The 26,626-nt window shown below is 54.7% G+C and overlaps 3 protein-coding genes across 9 annotated transcripts in view, besides 19 other annotated features; 1 reads left to right on the top strand and 2 right to left on the bottom strand.

The window, feature by feature from the left end:
* Positions 89–188: an enhancer, noted in NCBI's record as "active region_12217". NCBI's record gives its function as "activates an Ori minimal core promoter by ATAC-STARR-seq in GM12878 lymphoblastoid cells {active_cell/tissue: GM12878}" and the evidence as "EXISTENCE:reporter gene assay evidence [ECO:0000049][PMID:35858748]".
* Positions 209–258: an enhancer, noted in NCBI's record as "active region_12218". NCBI's record gives its function as "activates an Ori minimal core promoter by ATAC-STARR-seq in GM12878 lymphoblastoid cells {active_cell/tissue: GM12878}" and the evidence as "EXISTENCE:reporter gene assay evidence [ECO:0000049][PMID:35858748]".
* Positions 389–468: an enhancer, noted in NCBI's record as "active region_12219". NCBI's record gives its function as "activates an Ori minimal core promoter by ATAC-STARR-seq in GM12878 lymphoblastoid cells {active_cell/tissue: GM12878}" and the evidence as "EXISTENCE:reporter gene assay evidence [ECO:0000049][PMID:35858748]".
* Positions 389–950: a biological region, named in NCBI's record as "H3K27ac hESC enhancer GRCh37_chr17:40829663-40830164".
* Positions 449–950: an enhancer, noted in NCBI's record as "H3K27ac hESC enhancer chr17:40829663-40830164 (GRCh37/hg19 assembly coordinates)". NCBI's record gives its function as "activates a minimal SCP1, AML or CMV promoter by ChIP-STARR-seq in naive H9 embryonic stem cells {active_cell/tissue: H9 hESC(naive)}" and the evidence as "EXISTENCE:reporter gene assay evidence [ECO:0000049][PMID:30033119]".
* Positions 839–918: a silencer, noted in NCBI's record as "silent region_8544". NCBI's record gives its function as "represses an Ori minimal core promoter by ATAC-STARR-seq in GM12878 lymphoblastoid cells {active_cell/tissue: GM12878}" and the evidence as "EXISTENCE:reporter gene assay evidence [ECO:0000049][PMID:35858748]".
* Positions 951–1,450: an enhancer, noted in NCBI's record as "H3K27ac hESC enhancer chr17:40830165-40830664 (GRCh37/hg19 assembly coordinates)". NCBI's record gives its function as "activates a minimal SCP1, AML or CMV promoter by ChIP-STARR-seq in naive and primed H9 embryonic stem cells {active_cell/tissue: H9 hESC(naive and primed)}" and the evidence as "EXISTENCE:reporter gene assay evidence [ECO:0000049][PMID:30033119]".
* Positions 1,269–1,358: a silencer, noted in NCBI's record as "silent region_8545". NCBI's record gives its function as "represses an Ori minimal core promoter by ATAC-STARR-seq in GM12878 lymphoblastoid cells {active_cell/tissue: GM12878}" and the evidence as "EXISTENCE:reporter gene assay evidence [ECO:0000049][PMID:35858748]".
* CCR10 (C-C motif chemokine receptor 10) lies at positions 1,693–4,647 on the bottom strand. Its single transcript, NM_016602.3, has 2 exons — positions 4,604–4,647; positions 1,693–3,421 (listed from the first exon to the last, which is right to left on the bottom strand). The coding sequence occupies exons 1-2, from the start codon at positions 4,625–4,627 to the stop codon at positions 2,357–2,359; spliced, it is 1,089 nt and encodes a 362-aa protein (NP_057686.2). The 5' UTR covers positions 4,628–4,647; the 3' UTR covers positions 1,693–2,356.
* Positions 1,952–2,800: an enhancer, noted in NCBI's record as "H3K27ac-H3K4me1 hESC enhancer chr17:40831166-40832014 (GRCh37/hg19 assembly coordinates)". NCBI's record gives its function as "activates a minimal SCP1, AML or CMV promoter by ChIP-STARR-seq in primed H9 embryonic stem cells {active_cell/tissue: H9 hESC(primed)}" and the evidence as "EXISTENCE:reporter gene assay evidence [ECO:0000049][PMID:30033119]".
* Positions 2,801–3,649: an enhancer, noted in NCBI's record as "H3K27ac-H3K4me1 hESC enhancer chr17:40832015-40832863 (GRCh37/hg19 assembly coordinates)". NCBI's record gives its function as "activates a minimal SCP1, AML or CMV promoter by ChIP-STARR-seq in naive and primed H9 embryonic stem cells {active_cell/tissue: H9 hESC(naive and primed)}" and the evidence as "EXISTENCE:reporter gene assay evidence [ECO:0000049][PMID:30033119]".
* Positions 4,035–4,329: a silencer, noted in NCBI's record as "tiled region #12568; HepG2 Repressive non-DNase unmatched - State 4:PromP, and K562 Repressive DNase matched - State 5:Enh". NCBI's record gives its function as "represses a minimal TATA promoter and a strong SV40 promoter by Sharpr-MPRA in HepG2 and K562 cells {active_cell/tissue: HepG2 | K562}" and the evidence as "EXISTENCE:reporter gene assay evidence [ECO:0000049][PMID:27701403]".
* Positions 4,868–5,486: an enhancer, noted in NCBI's record as "H3K4me1 hESC enhancer chr17:40834082-40834700 (GRCh37/hg19 assembly coordinates)". NCBI's record gives its function as "activates a minimal SCP1, AML or CMV promoter by ChIP-STARR-seq in primed H9 embryonic stem cells {active_cell/tissue: H9 hESC(primed)}" and the evidence as "EXISTENCE:reporter gene assay evidence [ECO:0000049][PMID:30033119]".
* Positions 5,335–22,797, top strand: CNTNAP1 (contactin associated protein 1). Its single transcript, NM_003632.3, has 24 exons — positions 5,335–5,700; positions 6,625–6,726; positions 6,840–7,033; positions 7,795–7,942; positions 8,021–8,224; positions 8,761–8,945; positions 9,707–9,850; positions 10,524–10,785; positions 11,266–11,415; positions 11,680–11,851; positions 12,325–12,431; positions 12,892–13,011; positions 13,543–13,746; positions 13,941–14,097; positions 14,188–14,315; positions 14,610–14,795; positions 15,303–15,524; positions 16,101–16,340; positions 18,325–18,678; positions 18,829–18,956; positions 20,078–20,171; positions 20,358–20,603; positions 20,707–20,754; positions 21,422–22,797. Exons 1-24 carry the CDS (start codon positions 5,634–5,636, stop codon positions 21,712–21,714), a joined length of 4,155 nt encoding a protein of 1,384 aa, NP_003623.1. The 5' UTR covers positions 5,335–5,633; the 3' UTR covers positions 21,715–22,797.
* Positions 5,430–5,479: an enhancer, noted in NCBI's record as "active region_12220". NCBI's record gives its function as "activates an Ori minimal core promoter by ATAC-STARR-seq in GM12878 lymphoblastoid cells {active_cell/tissue: GM12878}" and the evidence as "EXISTENCE:reporter gene assay evidence [ECO:0000049][PMID:35858748]".
* Positions 5,740–5,789: an enhancer, noted in NCBI's record as "active region_12221". NCBI's record gives its function as "activates an Ori minimal core promoter by ATAC-STARR-seq in GM12878 lymphoblastoid cells {active_cell/tissue: GM12878}" and the evidence as "EXISTENCE:reporter gene assay evidence [ECO:0000049][PMID:35858748]".
* Positions 6,575–6,869: a silencer, noted in NCBI's record as "tiled region #245; HepG2 Repressive non-DNase unmatched - State 16:ElonW, and K562 Repressive non-DNase unmatched - State 7:EnhWF". NCBI's record gives its function as "represses a minimal TATA promoter and a strong SV40 promoter by Sharpr-MPRA in HepG2 and K562 cells {active_cell/tissue: HepG2 | K562}" and the evidence as "EXISTENCE:reporter gene assay evidence [ECO:0000049][PMID:27701403]".
* Positions 10,536–11,064: an enhancer, noted in NCBI's record as "H3K4me1 hESC enhancer chr17:40839750-40840278 (GRCh37/hg19 assembly coordinates)". NCBI's record gives its function as "activates a minimal SCP1, AML or CMV promoter by ChIP-STARR-seq in primed H9 embryonic stem cells {active_cell/tissue: H9 hESC(primed)}" and the evidence as "EXISTENCE:reporter gene assay evidence [ECO:0000049][PMID:30033119]".
* Positions 13,705–14,204: an enhancer, noted in NCBI's record as "H3K4me1 hESC enhancer chr17:40842919-40843418 (GRCh37/hg19 assembly coordinates)". NCBI's record gives its function as "activates a minimal SCP1, AML or CMV promoter by ChIP-STARR-seq in primed H9 embryonic stem cells {active_cell/tissue: H9 hESC(primed)}" and the evidence as "EXISTENCE:reporter gene assay evidence [ECO:0000049][PMID:30033119]".
* Positions 21,507–22,688: a transcriptional cis regulatory region, noted in NCBI's record as "flanking sgRNA range for +46 kb region targeted for CRISPR/Cas-9-mediated deletion". NCBI's record gives its function as "positively regulates EZH1 gene expression in K562 erythroleukemia cells {active_cell/tissue: K562}" and the evidence as "EXISTENCE:mutant phenotype evidence [ECO:0000015][PMID:25578878]".
* Positions 21,507–22,688: an enhancer, noted in NCBI's record as "+46 kb enhancer region used in reporter constructs". NCBI's record gives its function as "activates an SV40 promoter by reporter assays in K562 erytholeukemia cells {active_cell/tissue: K562}" and the evidence as "EXISTENCE:reporter gene assay evidence [ECO:0000049][PMID:25578878]".
* The window catches only part of EZH1 (enhancer of zeste 1 polycomb repressive complex 2 subunit), a 44,766-nt gene continuing 41,218 nt past the window's right edge, over positions 23,079–26,626 (bottom strand). For all 7 annotated transcript variants that reach the window (XM_011524517.3, XM_005257145.3, NM_001321079.2 and 4 more), the window contains 3 exons: positions 26,544–26,624; positions 25,681–25,765; positions 23,079–25,396 (listed from right to left, as the gene is read on the bottom strand). In XM_011524517.3, the coding sequence (XP_011522819.1) occupies positions 25,336–25,396; positions 25,681–25,765; positions 26,544–26,624 (227 nt within the window). In that variant the 3' untranslated portion in view covers positions 23,079–25,335. The remainder of the gene's footprint in view (positions 25,397–25,680; positions 25,766–26,543; positions 26,625–26,626) is intronic.

Raw genomic sequence — 26,626 nt, forward strand, 5'->3', positions numbered from 1 at the left:
ATCATGTGCCCCTGGCTTGGTGACAGCGGGGAGGGGCGGGGAAACAGGGAGGGAGGGGACGAGGCTATGTTAGCCACGCCCCAGTCTCTGAGGTCGGACGCGGGGTGCTAGTGACGTCACGGAAGCCCGCCTTCAGGCTCTTGTTTTAACTCTTGGCTCACCAACCAATTAAAAACCCTGTTGAGGAGTTTTGGCACAGGACAGAGGAAAACCCAACTGCCGCTCTCTGAACCCCTGTCTCGTCTCAGGGTCCCTGAGAAAGGGAAACGCCTTGGCTACTAAGAGGATGTCCAGACCTGCGAGGACACAGCTCTGGAGGTGGCCCTCCACGTCTGGGGAGAAGGAGTCCAGTTTCTCCAGTTTCTCGGTCTGATTCAGCTCTCCCCCACCCTTTTTTTTTTTTCTTCCAGACAGGGTCTCGCTGTCTTGCCCAGGCTGGGGTGCGGTGGAGCCATTATAGCTTACTACAGCCTCGAACTCCTCGGCTCAAGGGATCCTCCCACCTCAGCCTCTCCAGGAGCTGGGACTACAGGCGTACACCACCATGCCTGGCTAATTTTTTAAATTTATTTTTTGTAGAAATGGAGTCTCACTATGTTGCCCAGGCTGGTCTTTAACTCCTGGGCTCAAGCGATCCTCCCAGCTTGGCTTCCCAAAGTGCTGGGATTACAGGTATGAGCCACTGCACTCGGCCTCACCTCCTTTTCGAGGTGAAGGAGTTGAGGCAGGCACTCTGGGAAGGTGCAGACCTAGGCCGGAAATAAAATCGAATATAGAGCTCACAGCTCACCGAACTCAGCTGGGGAGACTGACTTGGATTCTAAGGAATTCTGTGGTCTCCGAATACAGTGGAGGCCTCTTAGGGCTAATATCCTGCGGCTCTGTATAGGAAGGGGTTAACTCAGGCGCTAGGCGGCCGGGGCGGGGCCGCGGCCTCCGCGGGCGCGCGCGCGCGTTGCTGACTCAGCGGCGATTCCAGAGATCTTGGATGGAGGGTTCCAGGTCGGTCCCCAGTGGCTGGCGTGTGGGACCCTTTGAGGATCGGCGCCGTCTCCGGGCCTTCCCTGGATCCTGGCCCCTAGAGGCCGTGGGGGACCCCTTTTCGCCGCTGCTGCGGGAGGCTCTGAGGACTGCTAGCCTGGGCAGGGCTGGGCTGGGCGGGGAGGGGCGGGGAAGGGCGGGACGGGCGGGGCCGTCAGGCCAGCACCTCCCTTGAGACCTCCTCGCCACGCCCCGCCCTTCTCGACCCTAGACTCCAGGCTGGAGCGGTGGGGACAGCTTTGCTGACCGATATTAAACCGCGAGAACTGTCGCACGTGAACACCATCCTGCCCGTTGTGATTGTGTAAAACAAAGACCAGGAATCAATGCGAGCGTGTCTAGGAGGCCATCTCGGCCGTGGCCTCTCTCCACATGAGAGTGGCCTGTACTGAGAGATTACCTAGGAATGGAGATACCACAACCATCTTCCAGGTCTGGATCCCAGGCCCTTGCCTGCAGAGAAGTTTTTTCCCATATCCAACCTCTCTCTTTCCGGCCAGCTCAGTGCATTTCCTCTGACCCAGTCCCCAGAGAAGATGGAGAACAGCAAATATCCCTCACCCCCACCACACCCGTGATAACTACTCTGGAAATTTGCAGATTGCAATCCCTCCTAGGTTTTTCTTCAAGGTGGAAAAACTTCAACTCAAATTTTACAATTCATTTTTTCATTTTTTCTTTCCATCACAGACACTAGGAAGGGATTGTAAAGTGGTTATGAAATCCAAACGCCCACCAAAAACGGGAATCCCCTGCCCCTCCCCCTCCCCCCACACCACGCAAAGGCCCACAGCGTCCCCGACAGTCTGAACATTCCAATAGCGGGAACTCAGTATTTGCTAAGGCAGCCATTACTGGAGAGCGCTCTGGTTGTTAGAAAGCTCTTCCTTACAGTATTGCAAGAGGAACCACCGCCCCTCCTTGCCTGGCAGCTTTCCCACCTCACCTCTGTTGGCTGAGGCCAGGTGACGGTGGAGGGGGTGTCAGTGGCTAGAGCTTTAGCAGACTCAGCAGCCCCCCACCCCCACCCAGGCCCTCAGCGTCTTCCACTCAGAGAGCCAAGCGCGGGGCAGGGCGGGGGGTGGGGCGGGGGCGGGGTGTTAACCCACCGGTTCTGCCCCGCCACAAATCACTTCCAAGTCGGTGACTCAAAAATAGTAACAGTTGTTGGGTTGCATCTCATTTCCATGTTATCAATTTAATGTGGCAAGGCACAGAGGTAGTCCCTTTAGGTCCCTGCCTCTTTCTCAGTGTTCCCCCACCTACTCCCCTTTCCCACGACCCTCAGCCTGCCCCCTCCTCTAGATTCGCAGCCCTAGTTGTCCCAGGAGAGACTGTGGGTCTCCGTGGGAGCTGAGCAGGAAGAAAGGCGGGGCCGGCGGGGGCAGCCGCGGCGGGGTTGAGGCCCTGAGGGGCAGCTCCCACCCCGTAGCAGCCTCCGCAGGTCCTGGCGGAAGCGCAGGCCCAGGAAGGCGTAGAGAACGGGATTGAGGCCACAGCGGGCGAGGGCCAAGCCGCTGGTCACCAGCAGTGCGACATCCTTGCGTTTGCTGGCAGGGCAGCTCCGCTCGCGCGCAGCCAGTAGATCGGCAGTATCCAGCAGCAGGGCGAGGCTGTAGGGCAGCTGCAGCACCACGAAGGCCGCCACCAGAGCCACCACGACGCGCAGCGCACGCCGGCGCTCGGGCCCCCTGGCGGCCAGCAGCGTGCGGCCCAGAAGCGCGTAGCAGGCTACCATGACGCCCAGCGGCAGCGCGAAGCCCAGGGCCACCTGCGCCACGGCGCTCGCCCCCTTCACCGTCTGCGTGAGGCCCTCGGGGAAGATGAGGCGACAGCGTCGTTGGCCTTCCCGCTGCCCATCCTGGCTGAAGAGCAGCGCAGGCAGCGCCAGGAGCAGTGACAGCAGCCACACGATGACGGAGACCAAGTGTGCGCGGCCGGGAGTGGAGGGCCGCGGCCCGGCTGGGAGCGCTCGCGCGATGGCCACGTAGCGGTCGGCGCTGATACAGGCCAGGAAGAGGAAGCCGGCGTGGAAGGAGGCCGAGTAGAGGCCAGAGATGGTGCGGCAGGTGGCACTTCCCAGACTCCAGCCCTGAAGAGCCCCTGCTGCCGCGAAGGGCAGAGTCAGGGCCAGCAAGAGGTCGGCCAGGGCCAGCTGGAGCAGGTGGGCAGAGGTGGGCGAGCGCGCTGCGCGTCGGGCTGCCAGGTGGGTGGCCAGGACCAGGCCATTGCCGGCCAGACCCAGCGCAGCCACGGTCAGGGAGACACTGGGTTGGAAGGCCCGGCTGAAGGCCTGGACATCGGCCTTGTAGCAAAGCTCCGGCAGTGGCTCAGCCGAGTATGCGTCCTCTTCATCCCCAGAGTAATGGCCCCAGGAAACCTGGGAGGGTCAAATGAGAGGCGGGATCTTATGAGACACATCTGACCACACAACTCCCCCGCCCACACTTGCCTTCCAAGCTGAGAGCTCCTGTGTGGCCAGATGTAACAGTACACGGGGAGACATAAGCTCTTCTCCAGACTCTTCCTAGCACACCTTCAGCAGGCCTTGGCTTCCCTTGCACCCCTCCTACCTCTGCTTCCAGCTTCCTGGGTGACCTTGAGCAAGCCACTTGCTCTTTCTAGACCTCAGTTACCTAACCTGTAATGTTGAGATTATAAATCCTGACCAGCCCACCTCTCAAGGTTTGCTGTGAAGATGGCAATATGGAAAATAATGGATGGGGAGAACCTGTGTTCTCCAAAGGCCATAATACAAAGTTTGTATTATTATTATTATTTATTATTATTATTATTGGAGACAGAGTCTTGCTCTGTCGCCCAGGCTGGAGTGCAGTGGCACGATCTCGGCTCACTGCAACCTCCGCCTCCGGGTTCAAGAGATTCTCCTGCCTCAGCCTCCCAAGTAGCTGGGACTACAGGCGCCCACCACCACGCCCAGCTAATTTTTGTATTTTTAGTAGAGATGGGGTTTCACCATGTTGGCCAGGATGGTCTCGAACTCCTGACCTCAGGTGATCCGCCCACCTTGGCCTCCCAAAGTACTGGGATTACAGGCCTGAGCTACCACGCCCAGCCCAAAGTTTGTATTATTAATAAATCCTACAGCTTCAGTTCCCTTTGCAGCGCCCTCTCCTGGAAGGATGCCCATATGCAGGCTTTGCCTCAGACCTGAGCCCTGGACTCCAACCTCCGTCTGGAGTGGGTTTCTGTTTCTCTTCTTTCCCTTCCATACCCACCTTCCCTGTACCTCCAATACCAGCACACTGAACCACTCATGCCAAGGGGGTCTCCAGGGTTGGGACTCAGGTTTTCAGGGCCCAGGTGGGACCCTGGACCTCTAGGTTCAACCCGCCTTTCCCCTCAGCCCTAGTCCCTGTCCCACAACCCCAGCCTCACACCACCAGCCCATTTATCTGGAGGACCCCTAGTCTGAGACAGCGCCAAGAATCCTGAATAAGCCATAGGATGGCAGAGGCCCATTGCCAGGTGGGGAATCCCATTCCTTCCCTGTCTCCTCCCTCTCTGTAACCCTTCTCCCCCTCCCTGCCCCCACTCCCACCTGCTCTGTGGCCTCCGTCCCCATCTCTGGCTACACAGGTTTCTGAGGTATAGCCACAGGGGGTAGAAGTTAAACTACTAGCGGGACAGGAAGGAAGAGGCGGGGAGAGGGGCCGAGAGGGAGGTGGGGATTAGGGTCTACGGGGTCACTTTCCCATTCCACCTCCTCCAAAAGACTTCACTCTCTTGTGCAGGATCTGGATTTTACGAAAAAAAAAAAAAGAAGAAGAAAGGAAGGAAAGAGGAAAGAAAGAAAGAAAGAAAGAAAAAAAGGAAGGAAAGAAAGAAAAAAGAATGAACGAAAGAAAGAAAAAATAATTTACTGTCTTTGTCAGTGAAGAAAGAACGGGCTTCGGAATATAATCATTTGCTGTGTGATATTGACTAAGTTTCTTGACCTCTCTGAGCCTGAGGTTTTTCATCTGCAAAGTGGAGTAGGGCAAAAATGCTAAATTCACAGTGCCCAGCACCACTCCTAGAGCATAATTTGCCTTCCGAAAATGTTAAGATTCTTTTACTTACCCTTCATTCCATTTCCAGGCACCCCTCCCCCAAACCACCTCCCTTTTCTTGAAATTTTCAGGATGCTTCTGGCCCTAGGTTCCCTGTCCTCACTCCTGTGGCCCTAGTCCCGGGCAGCCTCGGGTTACTTGGGGTTTTCCCGGTGGCGAGAGGCTCTCTACCCCCGCCCTTTCGCAGCAGGGCTGAGGCACGCGCTTGCGCGGGGTCCGGGAAACCGGCGCGTGCCAGGAGACAGAGGCTGGGGAAGGGGGGAGGTGAGAGGAAAGAGGGTGGAAAGGAGAGGATAGAGAGAGAAGAGCGGAGGACCAGGAACCAGAGAGAGAGAGAGAGAAAAGAGAGAGGAGAGACAGAGCGCTTGGGGGCGAAAGGAGAGAGGGAGGGAAGGGTGGGTAAGGAGGAGAGAGCGGTCTGCTGCAAACCCCAGGAGGAGAGCTTGGAGCCCAAGCCAGAACTCGAGCCCTAGCCGGAGCCGTTCACAGGGAGGCGGCTGCCGGGACCGTCAGCCCTGCATGATGCATCTCCGGCTCTTCTGCATCCTGCTCGCCGCGGTCTCAGGAGCCGAGGGCTGGGGCTACTGTGAGTGTTGGGCTTGGAGGCAGGTGGGGTTGGGCCCAGGAGTCCAGAGCCTGCAGGGCGGCCCCGAACCGCATTGCGGCTGGGTGGTCGCGGGTCCTTCCCGGCCGGCGCGCGCCCGCTGGCTCTCATCTTTTCCTGCCTCTCCCCCGCGCTCCGCATTGCAGCTCTGAGGCTGCCGCGCGCGCCCGGGGCTGGGGCTGGGCTCTGGGAAGAGGATGAAGTCAGCGGGCAGGGATTTGGGGTTGGGATCCAAGCAGGAGCTGGTGCCTGGGTTTGAGGCTAGGGCTGGGGGATAAGTGTATACTGGTGACCGATACTAGGATTAAGGTTTTGCCAGGGCTTAAGGCTGGACTTTGGAGCTGGCCAAGGGGTGGGGTTTGTGGCTAGGGCTGGGGTTTGTGGCTGGGGCTGGGTTTTGTGGCAGGGATCCAAGCAGGAGCTGGTGCCCCTGACTGATGCTAAGGCTGGACATGGAGCTGGTGATGGTGCTAGCACTGGCTGAGGTTGGGTGCAAGGCCTGTATTTGGGGATGGTGCAGGTTTTGGGGGCCGAGTTGGATTGAGGCTAGGGTTGGAGCTGGATTGGTGTCTTGGGTTGACTTAGGTTGTGGAAGATGCTGAGGTTTAGGATTGAGTTTGGGAAAGTACTAAACCAGGGCAGGTATTGGGCTAGCTAGGGAGGGTCTGGCCTTGGGCCTATAGGTGTAGCCTAGGGGTTTGCCTAGAAGGAGAAGGTAGCCTCCTCTGAGCATGCAGCTGTTGCTGCAGCCAGGATTGAATAGATGGCTTTAAGGTAGGGCTGGGTGTGCCTCTGGGGGCGGGGGTTGGGGGCACGGAAGGGGAAGCTTCGGTCGCTAAGTGGGCCGGCCTTTGGAAGGGTCTGGGAGGGGCCAGCGCTGACTAACAGTCGGTTTCCCTACCCTAGACGGCTGCGACGAGGAGCTGGTGGGTCCCCTGTATGCACGCTCCCTGGGCGCCTCCTCCTACTACAGTCTCCTTACTGCGCCGAGATTCGCCAGGCTGCACGGTGAGCTCCGCGGAACATCAGCTGCCAACTGGCAGCGCACCGCGGAAGGGTGGGGGCCTCCGGAGGACTTCGGGGAGAGGGATAGCCGGTTAAAGCTCCTGTCCTTTCTATAGGCATAAGCGGGTGGTCACCACGGATTGGGGATCCGAATCCCTGGCTCCAGATAGACTTAATGAAGAAGCACCGGATCCGGGCCGTGGCCACACAGGGCTCCTTTAATTCTTGGGACTGGGTCACACGTTACATGCTACTCTACGGCGACCGAGTGGACAGCTGGACACCGTTCTACCAGCGAGGGCACAACTCGGTACTCTGGGCGCCAAGGCGGTAACACTTGGGGAGCTTCCTCTGCTCCAGGCTCTGGGCCGGGCACCAGCCTCTGGGAAAATGGAGGGGGTGGTGGTGAGGGCTCGGACAAGGAGCAGTGACTCCACTCCAGGGACTCTGTCCAGAGGGACTGTCAGCTTAGGACGTGCGCGAAACACTCGGTTCACAGGGTTTAACACACTTTAGGGTAAAACCTGGGAGAGCTTCCTAAGGAGGTGACATTTGATTTCAGGTCTGAGGAAATAATAGGATTGTGGGACAGGGCACTTTATGGAAACTGTGCGGGCAAAGCCGCCAAGCAGGGAAGACCAAGGAGTGTTTACTTTCCAGAAGTCGAGATTGGCTGGGTGTGAAAGTTGTGGGCTGGGAGGCTATGGAGAAAGAAGCAGAGGGGGGCCGGGCGCAGTGGCTCACGCCTGTAATCCCAGCACTTTGGGAGGCCGAGGCAGGTGGATCACGAGGTCAGGAGTTCATGACCAGCCTGGCCAACATGGTGAAACCCCGTCTCTATGAAAAATACAAAAAAATCAGCCGGGCGTAGTGGCGGGCGCCTGTAATCCCAGCTACTTGGGAGGCTGAGGAAGAGAATTGTTTGAACCCGGGAGGCAGAGGTTGCGGTGAGCCGAGATCGTACCACCGCACTCCAGCCTGGGCGACAGAGCGAGACTCTGTCTCAAAAAATAAAATAAAAAAAAGAAGCAGAGGGCAGGACGTGGTTACTACTCTCCTCCACCCCCGCAGACCTTCTTTGGTAACGTGAACGAGTCGGCGGTGGTGCGCCATGACCTGCACTTCCACTTCACTGCGCGCTACATCCGCATCGTGCCCCTGGCCTGGAACCCACGCGGCAAGATCGGCCTGAGGCTCGGCCTCTATGGCTGCCCATACAGTAAGTGTGCAGAGAGCGCGGAGGGGGCCTGGGAGACAGCCTCCCCAGTTCCCGGCCCACCTACGGTCCTTTGCGCAGAGGCCGACATACTCTATTTCGACGGCGACGATGCCATCTCCTACCGCTTCCCGCGAGGGGTCAGCCGAAGCCTGTGGGACGTGTTCGCCTTCAGCTTCAAGACCGAGGAGAAGGACGGTCTTCTGCTGCACGCCGAGGGCGCCCAGGGCGACTACGTGACGCTCGAGCTGGAGGGGGCACACCTGCTGCTGCACATGAGCCTGGGTGAGCTCGGCGACCATGTGCGATGCGGAGCCAACCCCTGAAGCTCTCTCACCGCCCTCCTCGTGGCACCTCCTCCGCGCATCCGCGCTCAGCCTGGTCTTCCACTTCTCTAAGGCCTGGACCAAACTGCCCCTTTCTTGTAGCATTTGGTGCTAGCAAAACACTGGAGTTGAGTGAGAACTGGATTCCAGTCTCAGCTCTACCACTACACAGAGATGTGACCTCGGATGGGGCACTTCCGAGCCTCAGTTCCCTCCTTGTAAACACACACACACAGACGCACACACATTGTATCTCATTAGCTTTTCATAACACCCGCACATGAAATAGAAGCAGCTCATGTGTTCCCAGTTTTACAGACAGGAAGCCAGGCTAAATGGCTTACCCTGTCACACACTCGCCAATGGCTGTTGATCTATTCGCCCACTCTCCCTGATTGCCCTGGGCTTTGTTACACGCTGCTGCTCTGCCTAGGAGCTTGGACTCCATGGAGTTCTCCTGGCTTGAGGTTTCACTCTGTCCTGCCCCACCCTCAGGCAGCAGCCCTATCCAGCCAAGACCAGGTCACACCACCGTGAGCGCAGGCGGAGTCCTCAATGACCAGCACTGGCACTATGTGCGGGTGGACCGATTTGGCCGCGATGTAAATTTCACCCTGGACGGCTATGTGCAGCGCTTTATTCTCAATGGAGACTTCGAGAGGCTGAACCTGGACACTGAGGTGAGAGACTAGGGAGGTGCTATTTCGTGGTAGGGTAGATGCTGGATGAGTGAGTGCAGGTCGGTCTCTCCCTTTCTCTTTTCCTCTGTCTCTCAGAGGAAAGACCTGGCATTCAGGCTGTGGGTGGTGGCTCATGCCTGTAATCCCAGCACTTTGGGAGGCTGAGGTGGGAGGATTGCTTGAGGCCAGGTGTTCAAGACTCACCTGGGCAACATAGTGACATCCTACCTCTATTTAAAAAAATTTTTTTTTTCAAAGACCTCGCATTCCAATTCCTGAATATCCTAGCAGCCCTTGGCAAACTTGCCACTCACCAGAAAAAGGCCTGTTTTTTTTTTTTTTTTTTTTTTTTGTGGGTGTTGTTGCTGTTAGCATGCAGACTCCCAGGCACTATTTCAGAACTAATGAGATGGGGTTTGGAAATTCAGATTTTGGGGACTAGGCAAGGTAGGAAAATTGTTCCCTTGGATCCTCCCACAACTTTGTGGAGTTGTTAAAGACCCTGACCCCATCTGCAGATAAGAATCCCAGGCAGGCTAATTGACTTGCCCAAGGGCGTGCAGCCGATTTGTGTTGGAGTCAGAGCTTGAACTCAAGCCTTGAAAGGCCTAGCGAGCTTTAGTACCGACACTGGGGAAATGTGTGTTTTAAGTCTTTTACAAAACCCCATCTGGCATTTGGGAAAGCATACGGCGGGGACGCGCGAGAAAGGCAGGCGCCCTCCTGTGCCCAAGAGGCCTCATTCCCCACGCCTCCCGCAGATGTTCATCGGAGGTCTGGTGGGCGCCGCGCGGAAGAACCTGGCCTATCGGCATAACTTCCGCGGCTGCATAGAAAACGTAATCTTCAACCGCGTCAACATCGCAGACCTGGCCGTGCGGCGCCATTCCCGGATCACCTTCGAGGCCAGTGGGCAGGGGGGTCTGGGAGGACAGGATATCAAAGCGTCGTGGAAAGCAAAGAGGTGGAGCGGGAAGAGATATTGAACATCAGATAAAAGCGGAGAATCCCTCTGTCCCCAGCCAGATGCTCAAGTTGGGAGGGGAGCGGGTCTCACCTGAGGTGCATGAGCCACGCAGGCCCCTAGTTAAGAAGCAGTGGTCGGGTCCAATCACCTTCTTAGTTCATAGATGAAGAAAGTAAGGCGCAGACACAGGGAGTGGCTTGTCCAGGGGTCGTGCAGCTGCACGGTGGCTGAGTAGGGACTTGAACCGATGGCTTCTCTGATATGCCCCCCTCAACCCTCTCCGACTCTGGAGCTCTGTTGGGAAGCTGGCAGGAGCCAGGTCTGTGGTCCAAAATTGCCTCTCGATACTGGAAGGAGAGAAGCGGTCGAATCGCAGACGGTGGAGATCAGCGAGAGCAAGCGAGCAGAGTTCCGAGGGCCGACTGGGTTGGGGCCCCCTCCACAGATGGACGAGCTTGGAGGGGAAGAGGTCACGTCATGGTTGGAGATCTCACCCCCGCCAACACCGAAGGAGGGCGGTGACCAGGGTCTTAGACCGGTGTGAAAACTGAATTCCCAGCTGAGGCAGAGGCGGCTCACGGGTGTTGATGCGTCTTCACTTTTGCCCCTAGGGTAAGGTGGCTTTTCGTTGCCTGGACCCGGTACCGCACCCTATCAACTTCGGAGGCCCTCACAACTTCGTTCAAGTGCCCGGTTTCCCACGCCGTGGCCGCCTGGCAGTCTCATTTCGCTTCCGCACCTGGGACCTCACCGGGCTTCTCCTTTTCTCCCGTCTGGGGGACGGGCTGGGCCACGTGGAGCTGACGCTCAGCGAAGGGCAGGTCAACGTGTCCATCGCGCAGAGCGGCCGAAAGAAGCTTCAGTTCGCTGCTGGTGAGGGCGTTTCGGGGGAGGCACAAGAAGAGAAGAGAAGTGTAGAGGATCCCAGGAAAGTTGTAGGCCTGGACTGAGGCCTTTACATTCTGGAGAGGGGAGAGGAGTGAAGGGGGCAGGGCAGGAGGCCCCAGGGTACTGGGAAAAGGTGGGAGTGGCTAGAGGCAGTGAGGAGGCGAATCTGAGGGACTAAGTATTCTTGGAGAAGGGGGAAGCCTGGGAGTCCTGGTATTCTCCAGTTCCAGAAGGCCCCTGGAGATTTGGTTACTCGTTTATAACTGTGCAGACTCTGTGGCAGTTGCTGGGTCATGGATAATGAAGAGACATTCAGAGAGGTCTCCACTGGGTGTGAGAAGTGTAATCACGGGGGCACACAGGCTGCTACTGGGACACAGTGGGGCTGCTGCTTCCCCACTCAGAACATTCTTCTACCCTAGTTGCTGCTTCCCTCCACCCACACCATCATCCATTCTTGTCCAGGGTACCGACTGAATGACGGCTTTTGGCACGAGGTGAATTTTGTGGCACAGGAAAACCATGCAGTTATCAGCATTGATGATGTGGAAGGGGCAGAGGTCAGGGTCTCATACCCGTTGCTGATCCGGACAGGGACCTCATATTTCTTTGGGGGTAAGTGGGGGCCAACCTGACCAGACCTCTGTTTCTGGGTGGGAAGGCTCCATCTAAGTCCACCCAGATGGGGCCACATGGAGAATTTTGGAGGGATCAAGCCCTCTTCCCCTCTGGGGCCTCAGGGAGTGGAAGGTCATTGCCATCTACACTTTGGTTGTAGTCCCCTTTCTTCCTTTATGTCTGGCTCCCCCTCAGCATGTCCCTGGGGGAGGGTCTTTGGGGTCTCCCCTGGGGAGGATCTCACAGGGGTGGTTGCTCCAGGTTGTCCCAAGCCAGCCAGTCGATGGGACTGCCACTCCAACCAGACGGCATTCCATGGCTGCATGGAGCTGCTCAAGGTGGATGGTCAACTGGTCAACCTGACTCTGGTGGAGGGCCGGCGGCTTGGATTCTATGCTGAGGTCCTCTTTGATACATGTGGCATCACTGATAGGTACCCAGAAGCCCCTAACAAGAGATGACCCCTCCAAAGCCCTCTTCCCTGGTCTCCCAGTAGGAATGGCCTCTTTCAATAATCTCCCTTCTCCTTGTCTCTGCTCCTTAGTCCCCTGCTTGGGGATGATTCTTCTTTGATCTCTTACCTCCTATTTCTTCCCTTAAGGTGATACATGCTCAGGATGGAAATGACACATTTGCTTTTGGTCCTAGAGGGGTTTTTTGTGCTAGGGGGATGATAGGGGTAGAATAAGGCATGTTTTGATGTTTTCAGGAAGGGGGAATAGTAGTACTTGAGCCCTGAGGACTGCCTAGTGCCCCTGCATCTGCGCTTATACCCGGCTGGCTAGGCGGGGTGTGTCTCACCGGGTTCTGGGGCTTCAAGGAGCTGGGAGTGAAGCTTGCAGGGATCAGACCCCACTCTCCAGCTCCCAGTAAGGCTCCTTCCCTTGGTCCTGACCCCTTCCCTAGGTGCAGCCCTAACATGTGTGAGCATGATGGACGCTGCTACCAGTCTTGGGATGACTTCATTTGCTACTGCGAACTGACGGGCTACAAGGGAGAGACCTGCCACACACGTAAGCCAGATGTGGTATGGGGGGAGTCAGGGACAAGGGAGGTCAATAGAAGGTTGCTGGGGATCATCAGGCTGCTAGAGATGGCGAGGATGGCCCTTCCAGCCCTCTCGCTTTTTGTTTTTGGTTTTTTTGAGACAGAGTCTTGCTCTGTTGCCCAGGCTAGAGTGCAGTGGTGCCATCTGGGCTCGCTGCAACCTCTGCCTCCTGGGTTCAAGCGATTCTCCTGCCTCAGCCTCCTAAGTAGCTGGGACTACAGGTGCACACCACCACGCCTAGCTAATTTTTATATTTTTATTAGAGATGGGGTTTCACCATGTTGGCCAGGCTGGTCTCGAACTCCTGACCTCGGGTGATGCACCACCCCGGCCTCCCAAAGTGCTGGGATTACAGGCCCGAGCCGCCGCACCTGGCCAGCCCTCTAACTCTCTAACTGCCTTTGTCTCAACCTATTATCTGCCAGCTTTGTATAAGGAATCCTGTGAGGCTTATCGGCTCAGTGGGAAAACTTCTGGAAACTTCACCATTGATCCTGATGGCAGTGGCCCCCTGAAGCCATTTGTAGTGTACTGTGATATCCGAGGTAAGTGTCTCTGTTGGGTGGTGAGGGGGTGAGGGGAGAACCAGGAAGGATAGAGTGGTGGGTGGGGGCCAGTTAGACTAAACAAGTGAGGGTAAAGGAGGACAGAGGGGAAGGGCATACTGAGGAATTTGTAACCTAGCCTTAAAAGTAAATCCCAAGCCAGGCGTGGTGGCTCACACCTGTAATCCCAGCACTTTGGGAAGCTACTCGGGAGGTTGAGGCAGGAGAATCACTTGAACCTGGGAGGTGGAGGTTGCAGTGAGCTGAGATAGCGCCATTGGACTCCAGCCTGGGCAACAGAGCGAGACTTCATCTCAAAAAAAAAAAAAAAAAAAGTATATCCCAGCTTCCTTACCCATTCCAGCTATCTTATTTCCAGCCTACAATGCAGAGTGCCCAGGGCAGAGGTGGAATGGAGCTGCTGGCCACGTTCAGTGGCTCTGAGTTGCAGCAGCGGTGGTGGAGGTGGGCAGGGAGATGGGTAGAGAATGCCCAACTCCAGCCAAAGCTCTGTCCCCTCTTGTCTGCCAGAGAACCGAGCGTGGACAGTTGTGCGGCATGACAGGCTGTGGACAACTCGAGTGACAGGTTCCAGCATGGAGCGGCCATTCCTGGGGGCTATCCAGTACTGGAATGCATCCTGGGAGGAAGTCAGTGCCCTTGCCAATGCTTCCCAGCATTGTGAACAGTGGATCGAGTTCTCCTGCTACAATTCCCGGCTGCTCAACACTGCAGGTTAGGGCTGGGGTCAGGGAGGTGGCGGAACTGGAGGAGACACCAATGGGGGCCTGGGAGAAGGAAGCCAGAGAGCCAGCTGGGGCCTTGGGTTGGAAGATTCAAGGAGGGGTCTGAACTCGCTGGAAGGGCGAGAGGAGCCCAGAGGCTAATGGAGGGACAGGGCCTGGAAGCTGCCTGCACCTCTTCCCCAGGAGGCTACCCCTACAGCTTTTGGATTGGCCGAAATGAGGAGCAGCACTTCTACTGGGGAGGCTCCCAGCCTGGGATCCAGCGCTGTGCCTGTGGTCTGGACCGGAGCTGTGTGGACCCTGCCTTGTACTGCAACTGTGACGCTGACCAGCCCCAGTGGTGAGGGGGCAAAGGGACAGGGTTTTTAGGACTCCGGGAGTGGGAGGAGCTGAGTGGCTGGGGCTGAGCCATGACATCCTGCCCCCACAGGAGAACTGACAAGGGACTGCTGACCTTTGTGGACCATCTGCCTGTCACTCAGGTAGTGATAGGGGATACGAACCGCTCCACTTCTGAGGCCCAGTTCTTCCTGAGGCCTCTGCGCTGCTATGGCGATCGTGAGTGGCAGTCCCCTTTTGTGTGCCCTCCCAGAGCTGACTCTCCAGTTTCCAAAATCTAGGCCGCATGTCACTGGTGGTCTCTAGCTGGGGTGCCCGACCCCCAGCTCCTGCTGTGATGCGATCTCATTACCCCTCTGCACCTGGCTCCTCTTTCATTCCACTCCTTAGTCTCCCCTCCGTCACCTCAAACCCTCCCCCTTTGCCCAACCTTCCCTGCCCCCAACCCCAGGTTCTCTTCCTCCTCCACCCTCCAATCTCCCTGACAAGACCTTCCTCCATCTGCTTTTCTAGGAAATTCCTGGAACACCATTTCCTTCCACACCGGGGCTGCACTACGCTTCCCCCCAATCCGTGCCAACCACAGCCTGGATGTCTCCTTCTACTTCAGGACCTCTGCTCCCTCGGGGGTCTTCCTAGAGAATATGGGGGGCCCTTACTGCCAGTGGCGCCGACCTTATGTGCGGGTGGAACTCAACAGTGAGCAGGCAGACTGTGGGAGGGCCTCGGGGTAGATGAAAGTGCTGTCTGGGGAGACAGGGGTAGGCTGGGGTTGGAGCCAAGGGCAGATGCCCTTTTGACAGGCAGCATGGGAAGGGTTGAGATACCCTATGTTCTAGCCCTCACTCGGTCTTGACGGCTGGCTGGGTGACCCTAGGCATTCACTTGGCCTCTCTTGGCCTTAAGCCCCTTCCTTGTGCCATAAGGAAGCTGGACCTTCGAGTCCCTCTCACCGCTGATTAGCCATGCTTCTAGCCTGGGAAGTGAGGCTGGGAAGCTGGCTTCAGGGATCTGTGATGTGGGGAGAGACAAAGGGTATGAGGTTTTTAAGCAGCTGGTAAGTTTCAATGCAAGCTACAGACAAATTGGAGGGATATTCAAGAAGCTCCAAAGAGGTGAGGGAAAGAGGTTATATTGGGCAAGGATCTATGAAGGGTCTTGTAGGTCTGAGTCCTTTTCTCCCCTACCCTGCATCACACTGTCCAGCATCCCGGGATGTGGTCTTCGCCTTTGATGTGGGGAATGGGGATGAGAACCTCACAGTACACTCAGACGACTTTGAGTTCAATGATGACGAGTGGCACCTGGTCCGGGCTGAAATCAACGTGAAGCAGGCCCGGCTCCGAGTGGATCACCGGCCCTGGGTTCTGCGGCCTATGCCACTGCAGACCTACATCTGGATGGAGTATGACCAGCCCCTCTATGTGGGTAAGCAGCAACCCAGAGGCAAGTCTGAAGCCTCCTTTACCTCCCCATCCTCCAAGGCCACTCGCCTTGTTTCCAGGAGCCTCCTGTCTTAGGTGCCAGTCCCCTCTGCTTCAGAGCAAGCCAGTGTCTCACTTGTCCCTCCAGGCCTTTGTATCCTATTCTATTCTTCCAGCCCTCTTGGCTCCCTTTCCAACTACAATACTTCATCCTGTCTCTGGCTCTGCCTCCATTTCTTTTCTTTTTTTTTTTTTTTTGAGACGGAGTCTCGCTCTGTCACCCAGGCTGGAGTGCAGTGGCACGATCTCGGCCCACTGCAAGCTCCGCCTCCTGGGTTCAAGCAGTTCTCCTGCCTCAGCCTCCCGAGTAGCTGGGACTACAGGCGCCCGCCACCGTGCCCAGCTAATTTTTTTTGTATTTTTTAGTAGAGACGGGGTTTCATCATGTTAGCCAGGATGGTCTCGATCTCCTGAGCTCGTGATTCGCCCGCCTCGGCCTCCCAAAGTGCTGGGATTACAGGCGTGAGCCACCGCGCCTGGCCCTGCCTCCATTTCTTGACCTGTTGCCTACCCTTCCCAGGATCTGCAGAGCTTAAGAGACGCCCCTTTGTGGGTTGCTTGAGGGCCATGCGTCTGAACGGAGTGACTCTGAACCTGGAGGGCCGTGCCAATGCCTCTGAGGGTACCTCACCCAACTGCACAGGCCACTGTGCCCACCCTCGGCTCCCCTGTTTCCATGGAGGCCGCTGCGTGGAGCGCTATAGCTACTACACGTGTGACTGTGACCTCACGGCTTTTGATGGGCCATACTGCAACCACGGTAAGTGCTGCTGGTTATGGGGCAACAGGGAGCCATAGGGTGTAATGGGATGTAGGGAGGGCAGGGAAGGAAATAGCATGTAAAGCCCATATCATGGAAAATTAGAGTTGTCCCTGGATTCCTGAGCTCTGAGTTTGGGGAGTTAGGCAGTTGAAGATCATGGGTGACTCCAAAGGCATGGACAAGGAAGGGATGGTACAGATAGCTGGTGCAAAAATATCTCAAAATCACCAAGTATGCTTTGGGAGCCCAAGGTGGGAGGATTGCTTGAGGCTAGGAGTTCGAGACCAGCCTGGGCAACATGGCAAGACCCTGTCTCTACAAAAAAAATTCTTTTTTTTTTTATGAGATGGAATCTCGCTCTGTCACCCAGGCTAGAGTACAGTGGCACGATCTCGGCTCACTGCAACCTCCGCCTGGTTCAAGCGATTCTTTTGCCTCAGCCTCCCGAGTAGCTAGGACTACAGATGTGCACCACCATGCCTGGCTAATTTTTGTATTTTTAGTGGAGATGGGGTTTCACCACATTGGCCAGGCTGGTCTCGAACTCTTGACCTTGTGATCTGCCTGCCTCAGACTCCCAAAGTGCTGGGATTACAGGCGTGAGCCACCGCGTCTGGCCAAAATAATTTCTTTTTTCTTTTTTTTTTTTGAGACTGAGTTTCACTCTTGTTGCCCAGGCTGGAGTGTAATGACTCGATCTCGGCTCACTGCAACCTCCACCTCCCGGGCTGAAGCGATTCTCCTGCCTCAGCCTTCCAAGTAGCTGGGATTACAAGTGTGTGCCACCACACCCGGCTAATTTTTGTATTTTTAGTAGAGATGGGGTTTCACCACGCTTGCCAGGCTGGTCACGAACTTCTGACCGCAGGTGATCCACCCACCTTGGCCTCCCAAAGTGCTGGGATTACAGACGTGAGCCACAGCGCCTGGCAAAATTTTTTAATTAGCTGGGCATGGTGGTGCACACTTAGGCCTAGCTACTCGGGAGGCTGAGGTGGGAGGATCACTTGCACCTAGGAGGTCAAGGCTGCAGTGAGCTATGATCGTGCCACTGCACTCCAGCCTGGGGGGCACAGCAAGGACTGTGTCTACAAAAAAAAAAAAAGCAAATCGCTTCTCCATCTTCCCACCATCACCATGGTAACACAGGCGAACTCCCTTGTCAATGTATTTGATGATTGCTGCATTCCTAAAACATGTCAATGACCCAGTTCTTGGTTAAGGTGAGCCTTGACATTCCCCATAGCAAGATCCTACACACATGCCAAGACTGCATCCTCCCTAAGGCTGGCCTATAGGGAGGATATATGAGCAGGTGGGTTACTGGTGGGAGGAGTGTGGGGGACTAGGGAGATACAAGACTTAGGGACCAACAGATTTCTGGTGGTGGTTTGGAAGTGTGAGTAGTGGCACATATACTACATGGGGTCAGGATATCCCCATCACCCAGGCTGGAGTGCAGTGGCATGATCTTGGCTCACTGCAACCTCTGCCCCCTGGGCTCAAGCAATTCTCCTGCCTTGGCTTTCCTATAGTAGCTGGGATTACAGGCATGCACTACCACACCTAGCTAAGTTTTGTATTTTTAGTAGAGATGGGGTTTTGCCATGTTGGCCAGGCTGTTCTCGAACTCCTGACCTCAAGATGATCTGCCTGCCTTGGCCTCCCAAAGTGCTGGGATTACAGGTGTGAGCCACTGTGCCTGGCCTTACTGCGTGTCTTTAAGCAAGTCACTACTCATCTCTGAGCCTGTTTCCCCATTTGTAAAATGCAGGGGTTGGATCAGATGATCTCCAGTTTCCCATGGCTGTAAGATTCTGTTCTGTGACAGAGGGGCTCAAGGGGACCTAAAAGTAAATGGAGGGTTGTGAGGGTGGCAGAAACTGAAGTAAGTCTCAGGATGTGTGTATGGATGACATAAAACCTCTGAATTGGGGAGTGAGCAGTGTGGGGGCCCTAACCTCCCTGCTTCTACCTGCAGATATTGGTGGTTTCTTTGAGCCGGGCACCTGGATGCGCTATAACCTACAGTCAGCGCTGCGCTCTGCAGCCAGGGAGTTCTCCCACATGCTGAGCCGGCCAGTGCCAGGCTATGAGCCTGGCTACATCCCGGGCTATGATACTCCGGGCTATGTGCCTGGCTACCATGGCCCCGGGTACCGCCTGCCCGACTACCCCCGGCCTGGTCGGCCTGTGCCCGGTTACCGTGGGCCTGTCTACAACGTTACGGGAGAGGAGGTCTCCTTCAGCTTCAGCACCAGCTCCGCCCCTGCTGTCCTGCTCTACGTCAGTTCCTTTGTTCGTGACTACATGGCTGTGCTCATCAAGGATGATGGTAAGCTCTCCCGGGCTCTCTCACCCCACTCCAGCTTCACCCCGGTGCCCCTAATTCTCCTATTGATTCACAAATACAAGGACCCACGTGCTGTTAGAAGATAGGAGTCATGGGGCCTGAGACCCCAAATTTCTTCTCCCCACCCCACAGGGACCCTTCAGCTGCGATATCAGCTGGGCACCAGTCCCTACGTGTACCAGCTAACCACTCGACCAGTGACCGATGGCCAGCCCCATAGCATCAATATCACCCGTGTTTACCGGAACCTCTTCATCCAGGTATGCATAGAGGGAGGTGAGCCAGTTCAGATCATAACCTCATGGTCTCCGTTGTGGCATCCAGGAAAACATCAAATACTTAATATTTGTAGATCACATTTGAATGTATAGAGGATTTTCACGTGTGTCACCTCATGTAACCCTCACAATAGCTCCAAGGGGACAATAGGCATTTTTTTTTTTTTTTTGAGATGGAATTTTGCTCTTGTTGCCCAGGCTGGAGTGCAATGGTGTGATCTCAGCTCACTGCAACCTCTGCCTCCCGGGTTCAAGCAATTCTTCTGCCTCAGCCTCCCGAGCAGCTGAGATTACAGGCATGCGCCACAACGCCCAGCTAATTTTGTATTTTTAGTAGAGACAGGAGTTCTCCATGTTGGTCAGGCTGGTCTCGAACACCCGACCTCAGATGATCCGCCTACCTCAGCCTCCCAAAGTGCTGGGATTATAAGCGTGAGCCACCGCGCCCAGCCAGACAATAGGCATTCTTATTTAAGTGTTTTACAAATCAGTAAAGAGCCTCAGAAAGTAAAGCGGTTTCAGCTACTCAGGAGGGTGAGGCAGGAAAATTGCTTGAACCTGGGAGGTGGAGGTTGCAGTGAGCTGAGATCGTGCCACTGCACTCCAGGCCTAGGCGACAGAGTGAGACTCCATCTCAAAAAAATAAAGTGGTTTACCCAAAGTCAAACCGCTGGTAAGCTGCAAAGATGGGGCTTAAAACCAGGGTTTTAAAAAATATATAGGCCAGGTGCAGCGGCTCACACCTGTAATCCCAACACTTTGGGAGGCTGAAGTGGGAGGACTGCTTGAGGCCAGGAGTTTGAGACCAACCTGAGCAACATAGCAAGACCTCATCTTCACAAAGAAAAATATTTAATAAATAAAATAAAATAATAATAATAAAAATATATATACCAAATCCTACATCTAGGCCCAGGGGTTGCCCACTTCAGATTGAGCTAGGACTCACCCAGCTGGCACCGCCAGTTTGGACAGAATGAGAGATCTCCAGTATCTGCCCCCAAGTATATTCCCAGGGTCCACACAGTTCCAGTCCAGCCCACAGGCATCTGCTTCTGGTCCCCGCTCCCTCATCGCCCTCCCCCTCCCCCTCCCCACCTCAGGTGGACTACTTCCCACTGACAGAGCAGAAGTTCTCGCTGTTGGTGGACAGCCAGTTGGACTCACCCAAGGCCTTGTATTTAGGGCGTGTGATGGGTAAGCTGCGGGTGCGGACGCGTTTTAGGCAAGGAGCTGTGGCATATGTTCCTGGATCCTCAAGGAAAGTGAAGGCCCTGGGAATGGCTGAGGGCAGTGGGAAGGATGAGTGGGAAACCTGTGGACAGTGAGAGTGGCAGGGCCTTTGGGTCCAAGTCCCTCTTTCTGGGCCTGCCTCTCTCTCAGAGACAGGAGTCATTGACCCGGAGATCCAGCGCTACAACACCCCAGGTTTCTCAGGCTGCCTGTCTGGTGTTCGATTCAACAACGTGGCTCCCCTCAAGACCCACTTCCGAACCCCTCGACCCATGACTGCTGAGCTAGCTGAGGCCCTTCGAGTTCAGGGAGAACTGTCCGAATCTAATTGCGGAGCTATGCCACGTCTTGTTTCAGAGGTGCCACCTGAGCTTGATCCCTGGTATCTGCCCCCAGGTACATTCCCAGGACACAGAGGACAGAAGGGAGGGATGACACGGAAGGGAATGATTCTTAACATGGAGGAGGCATCTCCTAACTGGTGCTTTCTCCTCTCCAGACTTCCCCTACTACCATGATGAAGGATGGGTTGCCATACTTTTAGGCTGTGAGTAGCACTGATCACTAAGCTGACCTCCCAAGACTACCCTCTGACTGTCAGCATCCTTTCCCTGCCCCTGATCCCCAAGGCTGCAGGATGGCAAAGGCACTAGATGCACAATGGCACAAAGGATGATGAGACAGGCTATGCTGAAGGTGCCATATAACTGGGCAGAGATTTTTAGATGTTTGAGGATGAGACAGGCTATGCTGAAGGTGACATATAACTGGGCAGAGATTTTTAGATGTTTGAGGATGCTACAGATTTTTAAATAAAATATTAAAATGAGACTATAGCTAAGGGATGGGAAAATGGGGATACAGTAACACCTAGAGAGATAAGAAATTGGGGTAACTACCAGGGATGTGGAAAGAGAATATTAGAAACAGAAGGTGGCAGGGGGTAAGCCAGGAATTCAAACCTGCCAGACACTTGAGATGAGTTTAGTGTGGTCGAACAGCTAACTGAGGGTCATACATTATGCTTTTGGCCAAAAGTAAATGTGTGTGTGTGTGTGTGTGTGTGTGTGTGTGTGTGCAGGTGAAATCCCAAAGTGTGTGTATGTATACAGGTGAAATCTCAAAGAGTGCGTGTGTGTGTGTGTGTGTGTGTGTGTGTGTGTGTATACAGGTGAGATCCCAAAGATCTGAATTGTCCCTTTTCTTCTTTTCAGTTTTGGTGGCCTTTCTGCTGCTGGGGCTGGTGGGAATGTTGGTGCTCTTCTATCTGCAAAATCATCGCTATAAGGGCTCCTACCATACCAATGAGCCCAAGGCTGCCCACGAGTACCATCCTGGCAGCAAACCTCCCCTACCCACTTCAGGCCCTGCCCAGGTCCCCACCCCTACAGCAGCTCCCAACCAAGCTCCAGCCTCAGCCCCAGCCCCAGCCCCAACTCCAGCCCCAGCCCCTGGCCCCCGGGATCAGAACCTACCCCAGATCCTGGAGGAGTCCAGGTCTGAATGAGTCAGAAGGGCTTCTGGGACCAATTCCAGCTCCTGACATTCCCCCAGTCCTGCCTCTCCCCCATCCTATCAGGGACATTTGGCTCCTCTTAGCTGGCTCTGCTCATCCAGAGGATATTCCCCCATCCCCCCCCCATCAAGTTTGGTGGGCAGAGCTACAGATGGGACCCAAGGGAGTGGCCGAGCCTCACTGCCTAAACCAATGCCCTTCTCATCCCTGTTTCCCCAGGCTCCTGGCTGTTTATCTGCCCCAAAGGAGAAGCCTCATGGGGTTGACATAGGTCCTTTCTGCCATCTCTGTTCCAGCTGCTGTCAGGGATTAACAACAGAGTGTAGGGGAGATTAACTGCCTCCCTTCCAATAGACACTATCAGCAGGGACAGATGTGTGGGAGTGCAGGGCTGCAGAGGGTATGGGGGGAGGAGGCTGCTAAACCCTATCCCCCAGCCTCCCCCCTGCCCTGAAGATCTTCCATTTGCTTCCACTCAGCTGGAGGCTCAAGAGGGCTTGATGGCTGTCCCCTGCCCCCCTCCTTTTGTTTTGTACACAGAGACCAAGAGGCCTCAGTTTAGCACCTTAGTACCTCCGCTGCTTCACTTGCTTTAGCCAAAGCCATAAAAAACCTGCAACGTAGAGAAAATAATGCAGATACCCTGACTAGCCAGCCCTCTACTCCTCCAACCTTTTCCAAGATATGCAATGGCCTTTGTGCCTGCCCAAAGGCTTCGCCCCCTCCAGTGCATGAGGAACCCTCTTTCCTCCGCTCAGAGATGCTGCTTCATTTACCCAGGAGGTCATATTCTTTATATATATTTTTTGTTGCAAAGTGTCTCTCTAGAGAAACTCTATATATTATTCGAATTTTTAAATTATTTGTTTATATATAAAAGAAAAGCTCAATTGGCTGTGCTGTCCTGTGCTGTGCTGTGCCCACAGTCTGTAGTTTGCCTTTCCTGTGTTGGAAGTGTCGTGAGTCCTGCTGGTCACCCACCAGCCTGGTCCGGCCTCCACTCTGAAGCAGGGTTGAGCCTGCTGTGCTCTCAGACGCGGAGCCGTTCCAATAAAGCAGAGTGGCAGAGCCCCAGTCTGTGTGTGGTAGCTGGCGTCGTGGTTAGGGGATAAGTGGGATGATTTTAAGGGAACTAATCTGAGGGCTCAGGAATTTCTAGAAGGAGCTCTCAGAATCCTTGCATCACCTTCCAGGGACTTGACTGACTGGCTCTTGCCAGAACCCCCATCTCCCCCTTTCCCAGATCTCAGTGGGTAAGTGGGGATCAGAATGCTGATGCTTCGGCCCAACCTGCTCCTGGACCCCATCCCTGGATCCTTCCAGCCCCAAAGCACACAGTACACAACTTGCCAAAATGGATTCTAACACTTTATTAAGAGGTCACAAGCCACAGGACTTTAAAGTGCATGAAATTTATTGGCAATGAAGCCGCATGTATACCAGGCTCCCCTAGTCCCCACCACCTTGCCCCATCCATCATGACGTGGTGGGGAGGGGTTGAGACCCATCTTTAAAAGTGGGGGACAGCAGGGACAAAGGATGGGAAACTGGAGGAACAGGAGTATTCATGAACTGAAGCTGGGACAGGAGACTGACCACAGTGATTCTGCTCACTGAAGGAAGGGTGGGGTCAGTCTAGTCTCTCAAAGGCTGGTGAAAAGTTTTTTTTCACCTATTCCTCACAGCGAGCCCCTGGCATTTCAAATAGACCTAACTCCTCCTCTTCATCTTTCTCTGGTTTTCTCCTCTATGAGTAATTTGGAACCCACAGTCCAGCTTGAGGGTATCCCTGATATGCACAATGAATACAAACCACGGCGGATGCAGATTTCAGGATCATGCTGGGGCCTGGCCCATTTGGGTGGGAGGAGCTTTCTGTCAGGAGTTGCTGGGTGCGGGGTACGTGTGTGCCCTCCAGTGTGGTGAGTGAGAGCATGTGAGTGTGTGTGCATGTCCCATACCAAACCGTAAGAGGCAGCTGGGTCAGGAGGAACCCCACTTCTTCCTTCATGGGACAACAAGTGGAGTGGGAAGAAGCGGGGCTCTGAGTCCCAGAAAGAAGGGAGAAGCCTGCTCCCTACTGTAACACTCCCAGGCCAATCTATACCCGCCCACACCCTTTCTACTCAACATACTGCTCCTTGTTCCCAGCCAGCCCGGCACACCCACCATGGACACAGGGCAGCTCTTGCTGGCCCCATTCACATGAAATTCTTCTGTGTGAAACTCACTCGTCTGCCTCTCCCAGGAGATGAGACAGGACTGGAGGAGAATCTCCCACCCTCTCTTCTTCCCCCTCCCTCAGGAGTGGGATTTAGGCAGGGACCCTAGAGACCTTAGGCCAAACTCTACCCCAATCTATAGACCTTTTAAAAGAAATGGTTAAAGTGCTTTGCTCTGCATGAATGCCAGAGAGGGTGGCACCACAGCCTGGGACAGGTGGTCTACCTGCTTCTTCTCCCACTTCAGATACCCTCTGCCAGTGTGCCCTGCACACGGGGTGCCAGCCTAAACGCGTGCAATTTAGCCCCTCACCAACCTTGGAACATATTCTAACTCACCCTTTCCAAACAGCAGGCACTACAGACAGGAAAGCAGATTACACCAATCTTTCTCCTCTCTAGTCCAAGCCTGTGCCCACCTACCCTGAAGCGATAAGCAACACTGGCCATTGGGCCTTGCCTCTATGGGGAATGGAAGGCCTGAAAACACCCACAAATCCAGCGAGCCAGGATGCTCACACCTGCCAGGCATACCCCTAATGCTTCTTCAATAGCAGCATAATGCTTGCCTGCAGCTGCTAAGCCAGAACTTTGGAGGAGCTGGAGCACTGGTGTCTGTTCCCAGGAATCTGAAAACACTTCTCCATCTATCTCCAGAGTACACAGAGAAGGCTTTCTCAAAGCCTCCTGGGCCCAAGCTTAGCAGTTTAACTACTATCATCTGGCTGGTTCTCCCTCTCTGGCTAAGGAAGGATGGCGTAGCTTTCCTTCCCCCAGCCTTGAATGCCTGTACTTAGAACCCACACTCTTTCAGTTTGAGCCCTGCCACGAGGGAGGAGGTAGTAAGGTGACCTGTCTACCTCTGAGTTCAGTCTGTGCTGCCTGCCAGGCTCGCCTCTAACCCAGACCACTTGTAGGCTCCAGGGACCACACTTCACTTAGCCTGTCCTCTCCAGGTCTTAGGACCACAGAGGTTTGCCTGCATCCCAATAACATAAGGACTCTTGATGTGGAAAGCTACAATTACAGGCTAGCGCTTGTTGGGAACTGCCTAAGTTGATTCCTGAGGCCACAGCCTGGGGAGCCGACACGAAATCACGCATAAGTCATCCACCCCAGCCTGTGCTCGCTTCTTCTGAGGCCAGAGAAACAGTCTCCCATTTCTGTAACTCTCTGTCCTGGGAGACCAAGCCCTAGCTGCCTCTGTCTCCCCTCTCATTGAGACAGTTTTGTGCCCTCTGGACATGGCAGAGGCCTCACTACAGAGGGAGTGGGTTGGGGGGTTTCTCAGTGTGGGAGACACAGTGCAGGAGACTCGAGCAGCAGTGGTGTGAGCACGAAAGCCAAGACAGTGCCGCTACCATAAGTGCTGCCGTGGGGCCTGGGAGGGCTAAAGGACGTCGGTCTCCCTCTCGATCCCCACGTACTTGAGAGCATCAGCTTGGCTGTACCTGTCCCAGAGCAGGGAAGAGGAACCAGGTTACTCTCATGACTTTTGTGATTGAAAAGGCGGAGTCCCCTCCCGTTTCACTTCCCCTCCCACTCCTTAAGGGCTGTTTACAATGGTCCCACTTCTGAGGCAAGGCACCAGATATCAGAACAAGGGACACAGCCTTATTCACCGGGAGACTCTCTCCTCCATCTCCATTACCCTCCCTGAGCCCCCAAATCTATTCCAACAGCCACTCTTTCCAATTCCTGGGCCACATCCCAAGGACCATTACTGGCACCTCACCTGTAATCAAAGAAGAGCTCTTCGCCAGCTTGAATTGCCCTCTTGGCAAAGATCCCAATCCGATGGTCTCCATTCACCATGACCACTGCAAGCAGGATAAACCCGAGGCTAGGTTCCTACCCAACTCCAAGTCAATAACCAGTAGGCTTCTGGGTTGATTTTCTCCAAATTCCCAGTGAAAACATGAATCAAATGGAATTAGAAAGTAGTCAATATGGTAGTTGCCTCTATGCTTTTAGATCTGTTATTATGGCAGAAAAATTATCTTTATTATTATTATAAGTGGGGTTTTTTGTTTTGTTTTGTTTTGTTTTTTGAGACAGAGTCTTGCTCTGTTGCCCAGGCTGGAGTGCAGTGGCATGATCTTGGCTCATTGCAACCTCTGCCTCCAGGGTTCAAGCGATTCTTGTGCCTCAGCCACCTGAGTAGCTGGGACTACAGGTGCACACCACCACGCCCCCCAGCTGATTTTTGTATTTTTAGTAGAGATGGGGTTTCACCATGTTTGCTAGGCTGGTCTTGAACTCCTGGCCTCAAGTGATCCACCTGCCTCAGCCTCCCAAAGTGCTGGGATTACAGGCGTAAGCCACCACACCCAGCCTATTATTATTTTGTGAGATGGGTCTCACTATGTTGCTCAGGCTGGTTAAATCATGTTTGTGGGAAAGTGTTTATAATGTATTCGCTGAAAAAAGCAGATTAGAAAACTAAGATTGAGAGGGGCCTAAAATGATACCAGATATTAATCATGATTATCTTTGGACAAAAAATAGCTCAGCTAAGGAAAATGTTCAACAACGAATGGAAATCACAGTAAAGAGGCATCCATCCCCCACCCCACCTCCCAGGTTACTGGGACTCACCTTTGGCATAACAGTTGGGATTCACTGAATGATTTGCAAATCGAATTTTGTTTCCTTTCCGAGTAGCATCCACTACAAAATCT

The sequence above is a fragment of the Homo sapiens genome, chromosome 17, assembly GCF_000001405.40.
Source record: "Homo sapiens chromosome 17, GRCh38.p14 Primary Assembly".
Lineage (NCBI taxonomy): Eukaryota > Metazoa > Chordata > Mammalia > Primates > Hominidae > Homo > Homo sapiens.